The following is a 15,470-nucleotide window of genomic DNA, read 5'->3' as shown; positions in this document are numbered from 1 at the left end:
AGATTGTCATGGAGCTGAAAGCGTCTGGTCCCTCGGCTGTCACCTGGCTGTCACATCACAGCACAACGCATGGCTCCCGCCCCTGTGTGACGCCAGCGTGAACAAGTCCACAGCGCTGCCAGCCGGGCACAAGTCCAGCACACGTGATCGTCCACAGCACACACGACCAGATAATGTTAATAAACTTTGTTCCCGGGTGCGTATTTACTATACCAAACTTTTAGTCATTATTTTAGAGTGCGTTCCTTCTATTTATTAAAAAAAAAAGTTAACTGTAGAGCAGCCTCAGGCAGGTCCTGCGGGAGGCGTCCAGGAGAAACCGTGTTATCACAGGAGACGACAGCTCTGTGCATCACTGCCCCCAGAGACCTTCCAGTGAGACCAGATGTGGAGGGGAAGACGGTGATATTGATGATCTTGACTCCATGCAGGCCTAGGATGATGTGTGTGTCTTAGTTTTTTAACAAAAAAGTTTAAAAAGTTAAAATGTTTTAAACAGAAAAAAGCTAATAGAATAAGGATATAAAGAAAGAAACTATTTTTGTGCAGCTGTACAACATGTTTGTATTTGAAGCTACATATTATAAGAGTCAAAGAGTTAAAAAATTAAAAAGTTTATAAAGCAAGAAGGTTACAGTAAACTAAGGTTGATTTATTATTAGAGAAGGAAATTTTTAACAATGGATTTAGTGTAGCCTAAGTGTGTGGTGTATGTAAAGCCTACAGCAGCACGGTCATGTCCTGGCTTCCCACTCACTCTCCACTCACTCATGGACTCACCGGAGCAGCCTGCGTGTGCAGTGTGTGTAAAGCCTATAGCAGTGTACGGTCATGTCCTGGCCTTCCCACTCACTCCCCACTCACTCACGGACTCACCGGAGCAGCCTGCATGTGCAGTGTGTATAAAGCCTACAGCAGTATACGGTCATGTCCTGGCCTTCCCACTCACTCCCCACTCACTCATGGACTCACCGGAGCAGCCTGCGTGTGCAGTGTGTATAAAGCCTATAGCAGTGTACGGTCATGTCCTGGTCTTCCCACTCACTCATGGACTTACCGGAGCAGCCTGCGTGTGCAGTGTGTATAAAGCCTACAGCAGTGTACGGTCATGTCCTGGCCTTCCCACTCACTCCCCACTCACTCATGGACTCACTAGAGCAGCTTCCAGCCCAAGCTTCATTCATGGCAAGTGCCTTACACGGCCGTACCACTTTACATCTTTTATGTCTTGTTTTTACTGTACCTCTTTTCTATTTTTTAGATATGTTTAGGTGCACAAATACTTACCATTGTGTGACAATTGGCTGCAGTATTCAGCACTGTGTGAGTTTGTAGCCTGGAGCTTCGGCCTCCAGCACGTAGCCTGGGTGTGCGGTGGGCTACACCTTCTAGGTGTGTGTGTGTGTCCTCAGTGATGTTAACACAGTGACAAAATCACCTCACATGCATCTCTCAGAACACACAGCTGTATTCCTCCTCCTCCTGCCTTGCATGCGGAAGCTTTTTCTGATGGCGTCAGCTGCCCATGGCTCCCACCCAGACCCCTCAGCACTCATGCAGAAGTGTCATGTTCTGTGTGGCAGGGACCGGTGAGTGCATGTTTAATCTGCTGTTAGAAGGGCCCCTGGGTGTTCCAAGAATGGCCCCAATGCACCAGGACTGGAGGCCCCCTGGGTGGAGAAATCACCTCTCCCAGCCTTTCAGTTCACAGATGGGGAAACTGATTCTAAATCCATTTCATCAGGCCCCGTGATCACAGTCGACGCCCTTGCCATCGGATGTGTAACAGCTACACACTCCCTGCACCTCCAGACTGCAGGGACCGTGCGGAGAACGTGGGACCCTCGTGCTCTCTGTGCCTTGTGACTGCAGGGGCCCAGCGTGTTTGCTGAAGGGAACCCTCTGCCTCCTCCGGTTTGGGTCTTTCCAAGGAATTGCAGGCAGTGGATCCAGGAGATCGCAGAAATCCCAGAATGGAAATGTGAATAAAAACACTTCCCTGGGGTCAGCAAAGGTCAGGAAAAACCTGGTAATTACTTCAGTAGAGTGCAGGGAAACACAATCTCTGCAAAACTAAGTTTCAAAGTCCTGATTTCAAGGGAGGTGGATATTGGAAAAAAGAAACAGCCAACACCCAACCTGAGTCTCTGCCTGTGGAGCCTGGGACCGCCTGGCTGCTGTGTATCTGCTGAGGTGACATTGCTCAGAACACAAGCACGTGGGCTCACGCTGTCCTGCTGTGGGGTCCTGACCAGAAGGGAGGTGATGAGCAAAGCCCAGGTCCTCCCACCGCGAGCGTTTCCTGCAGGGCCTGTGGGTGAAGGACCCTTCCCTTTCCCTCCAAATGTCACCCTGCCCCTGAATCCCTTGTCTCACGTCTTTGCTGGTGGATGTGAGTACCTTCTCCACTCCTTTAAAACTACATAGAACACCTTACAATGTCCCGATTATGCTCTGAAAGGTAAAAGCTGTTTCACAGGGCGTGTGTGTGCATGTGTGTAGACCAGTGCTGTACAATTTGGTTTAGATCCCTGAAAAAAATCTCAATTCTTTCTCATAATTTAGTGCAGAGAATAGAATAGAAGACAGCGTCAGTGTGGCAAGCTTCAAAACGTGTGAGTAGAATCGTGCCGTGGCTCACGCCTGTAATCCCAACACTTTGGGACGAGGCAGGAGAATTGCTTGAGCCCAGGAGTTCAAGCCCAGCCTGGGCAATGTGGCAAGACCCCATCTCTAAAAAAAAAAAAAAAAAAAAAAAAAAAAAAAAGATACACAAATTAGCCAGGTGTGGTGGCGCATGCCTGTAGTCCGAGCTACTTGGGAAGCTGAGGTGGCAGGATGGCTGGAGCCCAGGAGTTCAAGGCTGCAGTGAGCTATGATTGCACCACTATACTCCAGCCTAGGCAACAAGCAAGTCTCTGTCCCTAAAGAAAAAAAAAGCGTGAGTTGCTGAGGCCCAGAGAAGCCAAGGGACTGGCCTGAGGTCACACAGCAGGGGCACACTGTGTGGGGACGAAGCTCGGGCTCCCCCCACCATGTGTGCTTTCCTTGTTATTAATTCACACGAGTGAATAGTTGCAAATGATGCATCTGGATAAACACTGGACTTCTGTTTCCCCACAGCTGCAGGAGAATCACAGTCTCAGCGGCTGCTGCTCCTGACGGGCACGCGTGATGCCCAGTCTGGAGGGTTCGCTGCAATCAGTGCTACAGCTTTAGAAACTGTGATTTACTGCTGATTTAAAACTCTTTAAAGAGCCGACTTCCTGCCGATGGGGCTGAGGGAAGAGCGGCAGGCGCAGTGCTGGCAGAGACTCCGGCAGGGCCTCGTGCGGGGGCCGGGAGCAGCGCCTTCTTTTTAGGAAACGACGCTTCAGGCTCAGGCCCGTCCATGCTCCTCTCCCGTGTGAGTGCAGAGAAGGTCCTGGGTTCTGTCTGCTGCTTCACTCTGGGGGTGAGTGTGCCTCTGGAGTCTCTGAGGGGGCGCGGGAAGGACCTTCAGTTCAGAGCATTTAACCAAAGCTTTTACGGCAGCCGGCGGGGCAAGGGCTCCCGCAAACTCCGAGCTTGAGAGACAGCACCTCAAATTTTCGAACCCTGGTCCTCGTGGAGCCATGCAACGCTGCTCCAAGGAGGGCAGTGGCGGCCCTGGCGCTCTGGGAAGGCCTGGAGGGCTGAGCCTCGGGCAGCCAGCACCACCCTTCCCTCCCCTCGGTTCCCAAGAATCCCAGAGCCATTGAGGAATTGAGGCTGCCACGTTTTAGGCACCCCCAGGATGAGTACAACGTGGGTTTAACACGAGGGAGGCTGCCGCGCTGTCCTGCTTGGTCACGTTAACTATCCACATTTTCCCAAGGAGCAAGGATGGGCGCGTTTCCTCAAGGTTCTTTGGTGGTGGTTTCAGTCTCTGGCTGAGAGAACTGACTGCGCAGGCTTAGTCCTCATTAGTCCAAGACCCAAAGCTTCCAGGATGCAGACGGGAGCTGCAGTGAGCACCCGTGCACCTGCTGATTCTCCATGAGGTCCTGCATGGCCGTGGTGGGCTCTTTCTACAGAAGCTCAGGACTTGACTTGTGTTAGGATGGAGAGTCATAGTGTTGTCTTGCTTTACTTTTTTATTTTTAAAAAATAGACACAGGGTGTTGCTCCGTTGCCCAGGCGGGAGTGCAGGGGTGCAATCACAGCTCATTGCGGCCTCAACCTCCTGGGCTCAAGCAATCCTCCCGCCTCAGCCTCTCAAGGAGCTAGGACCACAGGCACCACCATGCCCAGCTCATTAAAACAATTTTTTTTTCTTTGGTAGAGATGGGATCTCACTATGTTGCCAAGGCTGGTCTCAAACTCCTGGCCTCAAGTGATCCTCCTGCCTTGGCCTCCCAGTGTTGGAATTATAGGCATGAGCCACCATGCCCGACCTTGTTTTACTTTTTATAAATCATGTATATAAACATATTTTATTAATCCCAATACAACCAAGGCCTTCAAGTCCAAAAGACCTGCAGCAGAGGTGGCAGAGGAGAGAGATATGTAAGTGCGGGAAAAATATTCTTAAGGTCTGTTTTCAAGATTTAGTGAAATTTTGGGAAAAGGTACGGAAAATATTTTCATATTTTTTACTTACAATTGTCACTGTGAAAAGAGTTGCTTTTTATGGAGTGACATAAATTTGAAAAAAAAGGTTGTGTTTAAGAAATTAGATACAGCTCTGAAGTATACATGGAATGTCATTCGGCTCAGTAGAATGTGGTGTGTGGGCAATTACCCAGCACGGTAATTCCACATTACAAACCTTTAAATTTAAAACAGATCAAAATAAATCAATTTTGTAAGTGGCTTTACCTAGGTGCAGTGTTTGCATTATGCAACATTTATTTAATATTGTCACGCTGTCCTTGAAGAGCCCGTTTATTCATATTTTGGTCCTCAACCAGGAGCAGTATCTGCTATCTGCACAGCTGCCTCTGGGGGCAGCTCCCAGATCAGTGGCTGCAGAGGCACAGGTGGTGGCTCCACCTGGGCGTGGTGTGGGCTGCGGTGGCCTCCGAACACCTCCGGGAGTGAAAACCCAAACTCTCCTTTGCTGTAAAGCATAATTTTTGTTTTAAATCCTAGATTGAAAAAACCGTGTCACTGGAAGTTAGGAAGCAAACTTCAATCCTAGTATTGTTTTTTTTTGAAATGGAGTCTCGCTCTGTCACCCAGGCTGGAGTGCAGTGGCGCGATCTCGGCTCACTGCAAGCTCCGCCTCCCGGGTTCACCCCATTCTCCTGCCTCAGCCTCCCGAGTAGCTGGGACTACAGGTGCCCGCCACCACGCCCGGCTAATTTTTTGTATTTTTAGTAGAGACGGGATTTCACTGTGTTAGCCAGGATGGTCTCGATCTCCTGACCTTGTGATCCGCCCGCCTCGGCCTCCCAAAGTGCTGGGATTACAGGAGTGAGCCACTGCGCCCGGCCCAATCCTAGTATTCTTAACCACAGTCATTTGCCATTTTTCTTGCACTTCTTTTTCCTATGTGCACTTTTTACAAAGTTGCAATCATAGTCCAGGAACGATTTTTACATTCTGCTTTTCTTTTTACTCAGTATGTTATCTGCAATTTCTAAGTTGCTACATAGTCTTCAAAACCATAATTGTAAAAGTCTGCTTAATACTTCATCGGGCATTTATTTTGAAAATTCTCTGTTCTATAAATGACACTATGACCAATATATGCCCCTCCCTCATGCCATGTTAATTACTGGGTCAAAGGACATAAACATAATTTTGTTTCTTGATACACATTGCCACATCTCTCCTCCCCGCATTGAACAAGCTTCAGTATCACTAATATATAAGGATACATTTCACCACAACTTATCATTACATTTTTGTAACATAATGAAATAAACGATTATTTAATTACATTATTTGACCATGAGCAAGTCTGGCTATTTTCTCATTAAGATTTACAATTTTTCTTTCATGTTTATCTAAATCATATTAATGGATTTCTTATCGATACATTTTTCTATCAATTTGTTTGATCTTTTTATGTAATAAATAATCCCTTATGCTGCTTTTTAAATCTCTAGGATTGTCAGAATATATCGGGAACATCAAAGGCCATTTTTTAATTGTTTTTTCCATAGAACCTGCATTTATTTTTACTTTAATGTTTTACCATTTGGTTGATGGAAGTCACACTTAACTGCCAAAGGGAGCTGTTGAGTTGGTCAACCAGTGTGCAAATCTGATTTGATGTCATGCCAGCCCAAAGTAAAGACCCTGGTTTCTGCAGGGCATGGAATGGGTAATGAACTCTGACCCTTTCTGTAAGGAGGATGGATGACAGCGCGGGGATTCCCATCAGGACTTCCACTTCCAGGAAGGTCGATGGGCTCCAGCCATCTGCAGCCTGCGTCATCCTCTGCCTGAACTCACTGGGGTGCAGTGAGAAGGTGCCCAGACGCCCCAGGGTTTCCTGGGGCTGCTGAGGGCTTTGAGAAGGAGGCTTGCTGGGCCCCAGGGCAGGGAGGAGGTGCCAGGAATTAATTTCATTTTTGCAAATTCACATTAGGACTCAGAACTTTGGAAGACTCATGGAAATTCTCGAAAAATTATTCTGCCTCCAAAGCATTGTGAGAAAGCTGGATCGATAAACATCATTGCTGACTGTGTGCCAGGCACTGAGTTGGCGCTTGGTGTAAACGGTCTCTGCTCCTCACAACGATTCTAAAAGGCTGGTGGGTTTTTTTACTCCAGGTTGGAGAAACTGGAAACTCAGGGTAAAGTGTTCCTTGGTGATGTGGTGGGTGACCTGCAGTGCCGTGACCCGTCCGACTTGAATCTTACGCTCTTCTTACTGGCTGTGGGTCCTAACAGAGACACTGACGCCATTCTTGCCCAGTTATCCCTTCGGGATTTGTTAATCTTTTATCTGAAGCTTCAAAGTTGTCAATTGGTCTAGGGCTCTGGGCCAAGTATGGACTTTACATGGTTCAGACAAGTTGCCTAGGGATTAATTTTCTTCTTTGTGCCTTTTCTGTAATTAAAAGATTTTTTTAAACAATAACTGTGTATCAGAAAAATATAATAAATGCTGTAAACATTTTTATGAAGCAGACAATTTGCTTATAAAAGCAATCATGGCTGCAGGGCTTAGGGCAGAAGAAATGAATGTTTCCCTGAGATTTCCTCTTTTTGGCCGTGGCTAACCAAGCAGGCCACTAATGATGAGATTGGAGGGAATTATGTGTCATTTCCCTCGAGGGGTGGCCAGTTTTCGGCAGCAGGGCAGGGTTCCTGGGGACTGTGAAGCCTCTTTGGTTTTGTAATACTCATGTGAGGCTTGGCCCACATCACTTAGAGTGTTTTATTTCTCTTTAGGTCTTGGACCTGGACCTGAGAGAGCCCAGAACCCCAGTAGCAGCAGAAGGGCCGAAGCGTCACATAGAAACTGTGGGCTGCGGTGGCTCTGGAGCTGGTCAGCGTGACTCTGCCGTTACCTCTGTCCCCTTGGTGAGGTGATTCAAATTCTCAGAACTCTTTCCCCATTGGAAACATGGGGATAATAGCTGCTACTGGGGTTCTGGGCTCTCTCAGGTCCAGGTCCAAGTGTGTAGTGCTGCTGTGAGGGTTAAACGAGATAAATATGTGTAAAAGTGCTTAGTAGAGACACACTTCGTATTCTCAGTCACTGCCTGTGTTCCACCCAGAAAAAGTGCTTTCTGAGTCAAATTTTATCTGTTTTTCAAGGCTCAGCTGATCCCAGCTGTGAATAAGTTTATAGGAAGCTTACTGTTACCCCAGGCAGGAATCCCTCTACTCCAGCTGAGATTTTTCGGCAGTTAGGGCCTGTTCTATGGAGTAAGCCAGCAGTAGTTACATTTAGCCTTATGTTGCTGTGTGCATTTTAATGTTTGTGCCTGAGTAGATTATAAGCTCTTTGAGGGCAGGAACCATGTGTTCGATGTCTTGGAATATCTTACAGAATCTCGAATAGTGGCCAGTCCTCCAGCAGAATCTGCAAACTGACTCCTTAGTGTGAGCCGGAAACTGCAATGCTGTTTTCAAAGTGCTGGCCTTCAGGAGGTAGAGAGACCACACTGGCCAGTGCATGTGGTCCATGCCAGATGGCTCCATCCTACCTCCCTTTGCAGGGGCTGGACAAGGGCAGGCTGGGTGCTTGACTCAGCCAATTCTGAAGATAGGTTTTTGTGTGGCAGAGATCAGCCAGAAAAAGAAATTCTATTTTGATTTGGTCATTTATTGGCATGAGGTTTTACTTTTGCCCGTTGTGGTCAACCAGATGTACTGGTTGGTGCTGGCTGCAGCCCACGGAAGGCCCCACCTGTGCCATGGGCACAGACAGATGGGAGCAGCTGGCTGCCTGGAGACAGGACCTTGGTTTCCGTTTGATGCAGTCACTCCAAATAAACATGCAGTCTATTGTCTGTAGCTGGCATCATTGACTTTCACAGGTAACCTCCAAAACAAGACGGGGTCTCTCCACCGGCCTGGGTGGGGGTACAGCTACACCTTGCACACGGTTTCATATGAAGAGAAACATGAGATGAAATAAATAAAGGAACAGGAAAGAGAGATACAAGAACTAAGACTGAGGAGTGTCTCACTTTTAATCTTTCTCTCCTCGTGTCTTTGGGGTGCCACAATTTTAGTGACTGGGACTAGCGATTCCAGCATATAATACATTTCACAATCACAACTTACATTTTTTCTGTTTTCCAACACGTTTAAAGTATACGAAATGTAACATCACATCAGTCTTCAGAATAGTGATAGAGTCAGGTATTACGCATGATCGTTCTACTAAGTCTATTTGAGGGAAGCAAACGTTGAGAATTCAGGGATGAGATTCCAGCGTCTGTCGACCTCGGCGCCACCTGGGTGCTGGTTTCTCCTGAATCCAAACGCGCATTTTAAGCAGACCCAGGCGGTTTCTTGCACATTCGCGTTGGAGAAGCGTTGCTTTGGGGTCGGCACAGAACTCCTCTCCATGTTTCGTTGAGTTACAGCAGGCCCCCGGGTTAACAGTCCTCCCCCGACTTGCCAGATACAGCAGCCTTCCTTCTTTCAGAAGGCCTGGGAAAACTGCTCAGGCTGGGACTTGCGGGCGGTGAGATTCGGTGCCACAGGGGGCTTCTAGTTGAGATTCGTTCCCCATCCCCCGGGTCCCAGGGGCTTTGCTTGTGAGAAACTGTTCTGCTCTTTTAGGGGTAGCGGCAGCCACTTCAGCACAGGCTGAGGGTCTCTTATCTGAAGTGCTTGGGACCAGAAATGCTTTGATTTTTGGATTTTTTGGGGGATTTTGGAATATTTGCATATATATAATGAGATATCTTGAGACGGGACCCAAATCTAAACATGAAATTCATTTATGTTTCATACACATAGCCTGAAGGTCATTTTATGTAACATTTTAAATAATTTGTGCATGAAGCAAAGTGCTGACTGTGTTTTGACTGTGACCCATCACATGAGGACTGGTGGAGTTTTTCACTTGTGGTGTCATGTCGAGGCTCAAAACATTTCTGATTTTGGAGCATTCTGGATTTCAGATTTTCCTATCGGGGTGCTCACCTGTGTCACTGCTCTGCCAATCCACCACCAGGCTTGTGCCCCTCAGGTGAGACACATGGTCCAGAGAGATCTTGGGTCTCAGACAGACAAAACTGACAAGGACAAAAATGCACCCTCAGCTGAGAAAAGAGGGCAACAGAATCACCCAGAAATGCACCCTCAGCTGAGAAGAGGGCACCAGAAATGAATTCTGGTTAAAAACACTGTGGGGCAGTCAGGTGTCCGACCTACGTGGTCGCGGACGAGGGAGTGGGTCACGGCTGGCTGGTGTGGTGTGCAGGAGACGGGGGCTCGGTTCCATGGTCGCGGACGAGGGAGTGGGGTCACGGCTGGCTGGTGTGGTGTGCAGGAGACGGGGGCTCGGTTCCATGGTCGCGGACGAGGGAGTGGGGTCACGGCTGGCTGGTGTGGTGTGCAGGAGACAGGGGCTCGGTTCCATGGTCGCGGACGAGGGAGTGGGTCACGGCTGGCTCCATGGTCGTGGACGAGGGAGTGGGTCACGGCTGGCTGTTGTGGTGCACAGGACATAGGGGCTCGGTTCCATGGTGTCTCCCTGTGACCACTGCAGAGAAGGCATCCCAGTGGACGCCACTCACACAGGGGCAGGGAGGGTGGAGAGTGCGCCTAGGGGCTTTCCGATATACTAAATTGCCTAACACAGCAGTTCCTCGTGGACACTGGTAATGAAGGCAGGATGTGTTTTTGGTTTATTGTTACTTTTGGCTAGTCTCCAAAACTCATACAGCCCAGTTTTCTGATGGAAACTGAGAAACATTTATCAACGACAGTATCTACCCAATAGAATCTTGTTAACTTAAATGCAATAATGTGTCTGTAGAGCACTAGAGTCTTTGAAAGAGACCCGTATCATGAAGTAAGAGTATCGTGTTTTATTCTTGGTGAACTTCAGGAAGTACAAGTACTGCCCCTGGCTGGGAGTTTCCTTCTTCATTTTCGTGCCTGGAGTGCCTTCGATCACACCTGTCGTGTGCGTGAATCAGGTCTTCTCCATTTCTCAGAGGTACGTCATGCGTTCTAGAGAGTTCTGTCTCTCATATGAAGTGCTTCCTACAGAAAGAATGAATGTACAGCTCTTCATGTTGCCAAAGCACCAAGACACACTAAACCCACACAGGCACATTCCACAGGGCATTTTGAGTGGCTGGAGGCCATGGCACCAGAGTCCGGGGTGGCACCTGCACCCTCCCATGTGGGAAGTGGGCATGACCAGAGGCAGAGACCAGACTTGGCAGCACGTGGTGAGGCTGCACAGCCCTGAGGAAGCTGCTAGGCCCCGACACTGGGTGGCCTGGACAATCCAGCCTGACAAGGAGCTGCATTCCACCTGCGTTGGAGATGGATGCTGACAGACGGCCGCACAGAAGCTTCTGCAGCCTGGTGCCCACCAGGCCCACAGAGGAAAAGGGTTCTGGAGTGAAAAGCCTCATCTGGCACTCAGGAGGTATCTGCGTGAGGGCAGGGCCCTGTTTGCCCCCGGGTGTCAGAAGATATGAAGGACCAGATCTGGGCTTGGCCACTCCTCAGACAACTTCAATGGATCCTGCACACAGCATTCCCAGGCCAGGCTGGAGGGACTTTGATGGATCCTGTACACAGCATCCCTGGGCTGGGCTGGAGAGACCTCCTGCCTGCTTGCACATACTGGAAGAGATATTGTTGTGTGAATTGTTTTCTGAACACACCATTATCCTTACAGAAACTCCTATTCATCCTTCAATCCCAGCTCACAGTCACCTCCTCCGGGAAGCCCTCCACCCTCCATCGCCGGTCAGTGTTGGGTGGTGTGCCTGTCTCCTCTTTGGACTGCGAGCTCCCCGGGGTCCTTGTGATGTCTTTTCATTGCTTTCCTCCACTTCCCACCTGGTTCTTGGCACACACTGGGTGCTTATTGAACACATGGTCAGTATATTTGAAGGATGAGACGTACTGAATTAACATTTGTATCAGGTGTTTTTTTTCTGTATCAGATTTACAAGATCCACAATACCCACCATGTGCTAAGAGCAGTAACTACACCCCATTCTCTCCGCACACTTTCCTGCTGCCACAGGCTTACGTTTTTATCCTATTATGAACTTAACGCCTCTTGAATTCACTTCTTGAATTATTATCCTGGCTGCTCAGCTAAGAGATGGATCCCTGTGGCTCTCAGTGGCGTCCGTCCTGCCGTGGGCTGAGATCCGTGACTTCTCAAGGGTAATTACAGTGAAGACACTTGCTGGCCTGCTTGTGGCTGCAGACCCAGGGATTCCGGAGGGGGATAAAACCCACAGCTGACACAGCTCTGCGGTCCTCAGGTTTCCTCTCACAGACAGAGAGGGGAGATGACACTCTGGTTCTCCTATAGTTTGGAAATTTCAACTAAGCATCTGGAAGTGTTTTACAGGGAACACGCTGGGTCAAAAATGGGAACCCTTGGTTTGGGCAGCAGTTAGAGACGGCAGAGCCACGCTGAGGTTGCAGAGGGGGCTGCAGTTTCTAACTGCACTGTCAAGGACCTGCACCTGAGGCGACTCGGCGTCGGCATTTCCGCAGCCTGTGACCTTCAGCGAGTGCAGATGTCAGGTCTGACCCTTGCTCCGTGGCTTCCTCCATCAACTTCGGGAAAACAGGTTCACATCCTGGTGGATTTTCGTTTCAGACCAATTCGTCTTTGCCCCTGTGTCCGGGCTCTGGGCTCCGGTGTGTGAGAGCCGCTGGCTTTGATGCTGTGGTGATGTTTCCGTGTTTCCTTGGTTAGGGCAACTCCTGGGCATGCCCATGTTGGTGGGATGCAGAGTGCGGGTTCCTGGCGGCCTGAGATGCATCTCCAGCCTGGCGAGAGGGCACCCCGCAGAGCTCGGGGTGTTGAGTTCCTCTCCAGCCTGGCGAGAGGGCACCCTGCAGAGCTCGGGGTGTTGAGTTCCTCTCCAGCCTGGCGAGAGGGCACCCTGCAGAGCTCGGGGTGTTGAGTTCCTCTCCAGCCTGGCGAGAGGGCACCCTGCAGCGTTTGGGGTGTTGAGTTCCAGCGAGAGGTCCAGGCATCCGGGGATGCCAAACAAAGGCTGGATACGACTCGGCACCAGTGGAGTTTGAAGGTGTGCCGTGTTTCAGCAGGGCTGATTTCTTCTAGATTTGCAATAAGGCTTAATCCTGAGAATCCAGGCATTCACCCGACATTCCCGTTAATCACAGAATTTCAGGAAAATAAGCAGAGGGGGAGGCCTGGGGTTGCCCCCCAACCCACGGCTGCCAGGGAAGAGCTGGACTGACCTCGGACTCTTGCCCTTTAGTTGAACGGCAGTCTTTGGAGACAGCCTGAGGAAGGGACGTTCTGAACTTCCTAGGGAATCGTTGCGCCGATTTAACTCCCAGCGAAACCGCCAACCTTCGCGTCTTCCTTCTGTTCATCTGAAACTTCTGTTGTTGTGCAGCTTGAACTCCTTAGCCATGCAGGTGGGCCGGGGCTGCGAATCCAGGCTGCAGTGTAGGGCCAAGTGGTCATTTAAGTGAACACTCGATGCACATGTTAGGCCTGGTAAGTACAGCTGATTGACATTGGTATTAGATGAAGACGCCAAAGCTGCCAAGGATGGAGCAAAGGCTGGAGAAAGGCCACCTTTAAAATGTGTTTGTTGAGTTCACTTAGGTTACCTGTGGGCTGGGGCACAGCTGTGCAGAACGGCTCCGAGGCCTGGCTCTGTCTGTAATCGCTGTGTACAATCGGCCACACTTCCCTTCTCTGTGACCTGGGATTAAAATATCTCCCTAATAAGGTATTGGGAGGATTAAAGAAGATAATGGATGTGAGTGCTCGGCTGGGTGCCCAGCACATGCTTGGCGAGTGGGGGCGAGTGACGGGGCCGCCGTGCCCCAACCACCGACAGCAAAGCTGCTCTCAGGGTCAGTGGAGCTCACCTCTGGCGAGATGGCTTTTGCTTTCCTAGGACCCTGGGGTCGGGTTGGTTGTGTAACTTGGGCTTTCAGAGGCAGGGGCCCTAGAGAACACTGTCCTGTTATGCAATCCATGCCATCAGCGCTCGTGCAGCAGGAGCTGAGCCCTGGGTCTGAGCTGTGTGACTGCACCTCCTATACCAGCAGCCGCCATGGCCCAGGTCTCCTGAGCTCAGCTCATCCACGCCGGAGCCTTTCTCACACGGCGGATGCTGACCGCCATTTCACATGGGTCCAGCCCCAGAGACAGGTCCTGCATCCCTCCAGAAAGGACCTCACCTAGCCACTGAGGCTGCTAAGACCTGTCAAGGCCACTCAGCTTTGGGACGACTCGTGTCAGCTGTAAGGAGAAGTGAATGGTGGCTGGGACCCCATGTGCGGGTGGAGGGCTCTGCAGACGCTGACACGCGTGAGCTCATGGAGGGCCGTGCACGCCGCCGATGGGCTTTGCAGACGCTGACACACGTGAGCTCATGGAGGGCCGTGCACGCCGCCGATGGGCTTTGCAGACGCTGACACGCGTGAGCTCATAGAGGGCCGTGCACGCCGCCGATGGGTGCTCACACAGTGCCACAGGAACACCTTGGTGCCTGCCTGGCATTTCGTGGGCTTTCTGGGCCTGCAGCCTACCCTGGCTTCTGGAAGCTTCCCTCAGGAAAAGGCGGCCTGTGGGGGAGGATGACTGGCTGGGGTCTGTTGGCAGGACCACCGTTGTGGGGCTTCCTGGAATGTTCCTGGGCTCAAGCAGGTGCCTGCCCAGGGGCATTGCAGGGGCCACTGGGCCTGGAGCCCCGTGGACGTTGGGTGGGAAAAGCCACTGGTCCCTTCTGACACAGGCGTCTTCTGCAGATGCTGAGCTCACGCCCCTGGAAAGGGCTACAGCTCAGATGGGCCACGTTCTCCACGTTCTGTCCCAGGAACATCTAGATAATCTTAGCCTTTCATGTTACTACCCTGGTTTCCAGATGAGAGGCGTCCACCTTATGGTCATGGTGCAGCAAGCCAAGGGGAAAATCTCCAGAAATACTTGGGCTTTTGGATCACACAGCTCCTTCTGCAGGAACAATCCGTTCCAGGTCACAAGCTGAACACAGGGCATGTGGGTGTCAGCCTTACTTCCATTTTATTTGAAACAAAAGAACTATCACCGATGAGTCAGTTCAACAAACATCTTACCTCTTCCAAATCCCAGTCAGATTAGGTGAGGCCGCACATCTGAATTTCTGCCTGTGCAGGATTACTTGTGATCTCCTGTGAAGTTCCCGTTGGCCCGTGTTTGGATGAGGTGGCCACACGAGGGAAGCCACGAATCCCGTCAGTGAACGCCCGTGTCCTTTTTTCTTTTCCCTTTCGCCGTAGACTTTCCAGCCTATCAATCAATCAGCTGATGAAGTGTCAGGATGGCTCCTTGCTTCGTCCTGAATGGCTGTTGTCACAGGGAGAAGCTTTGAGTTTTTCTAATTTAAAAACAGCATGCACAGAAATGAATGCACAGGGTCTCATGGCGGCTGAGGTCTTCTCCAGTGGGCTCCGTGACTCTCCTCTGGGTTCCGGAGAGGCACTGTGCCTCGGTGTCTCCATTTCAACCTGGGTTTCATAAACCCTTTCCTTTTCCCCCTTGAAACGCCCGGCGGATAGATTAGGTCATTTATACAGGCAGCACAAAGCGTAGTAAAAGAGCTGACTCACAGGCCTGTGTCGCCCCCCGTGAGCCCTGCAGCTGCTCCCAGAGCCTTTGGATGCCCCAAACCGTGTGTGTGGGTATTTTTTTTTTTTTTTTTGGTAAAATGTGCCTAGCAGGAACTGTTAACATGTTAAGTAAATAAAAATATTTTTAAAAGATACATTTTCACAGCTCTTAAGAAAGTTTAAAGTGCTCCATTCGCGGTGCTGCATTCAGGCCAGGGCATGACTGAATTTTCAGGTCTGATGTG

General features: G+C 50.1%; 1 long non-coding RNA gene across 1 annotated transcript, besides 1 other annotated feature; it reads left to right on the top strand.

Annotated features, from left to right (window-relative positions):
- The first annotated feature begins 3,300 nt into the window (after positions 1-3,300).
- LOC154449 (uncharacterized) lies at positions 3,301-11,536 on the top strand. The gene is made up of 3 exons (NR_002787.2): positions 3,301-3,454; positions 7,369-7,500; positions 10,493-11,536. It is a non-coding gene; the product is annotated as an uncharacterized LOC154449 (long non-coding RNA).
- Positions 13,611-14,111: an enhancer, noted in NCBI's record as "H3K4me1 hESC enhancer chr6:170560847-170561347 (GRCh37/hg19 assembly coordinates)". NCBI's record gives its function as "activates a minimal SCP1, AML or CMV promoter by ChIP-STARR-seq in naive H9 embryonic stem cells {active_cell/tissue: H9 hESC(naive)}" and the evidence as "EXISTENCE:reporter gene assay evidence [ECO:0000049][PMID:30033119]".

The sequence above is a fragment of the Homo sapiens genome, chromosome 6 (assembly GCF_000001405.40).
Source record: "Homo sapiens chromosome 6, GRCh38.p14 Primary Assembly".
Lineage (NCBI taxonomy): Eukaryota > Metazoa > Chordata > Mammalia > Primates > Hominidae > Homo > Homo sapiens.
Note: the sequence above shows the minus strand (reverse complement) of the source record. Positions and strands in the feature narration are given on the sequence as shown.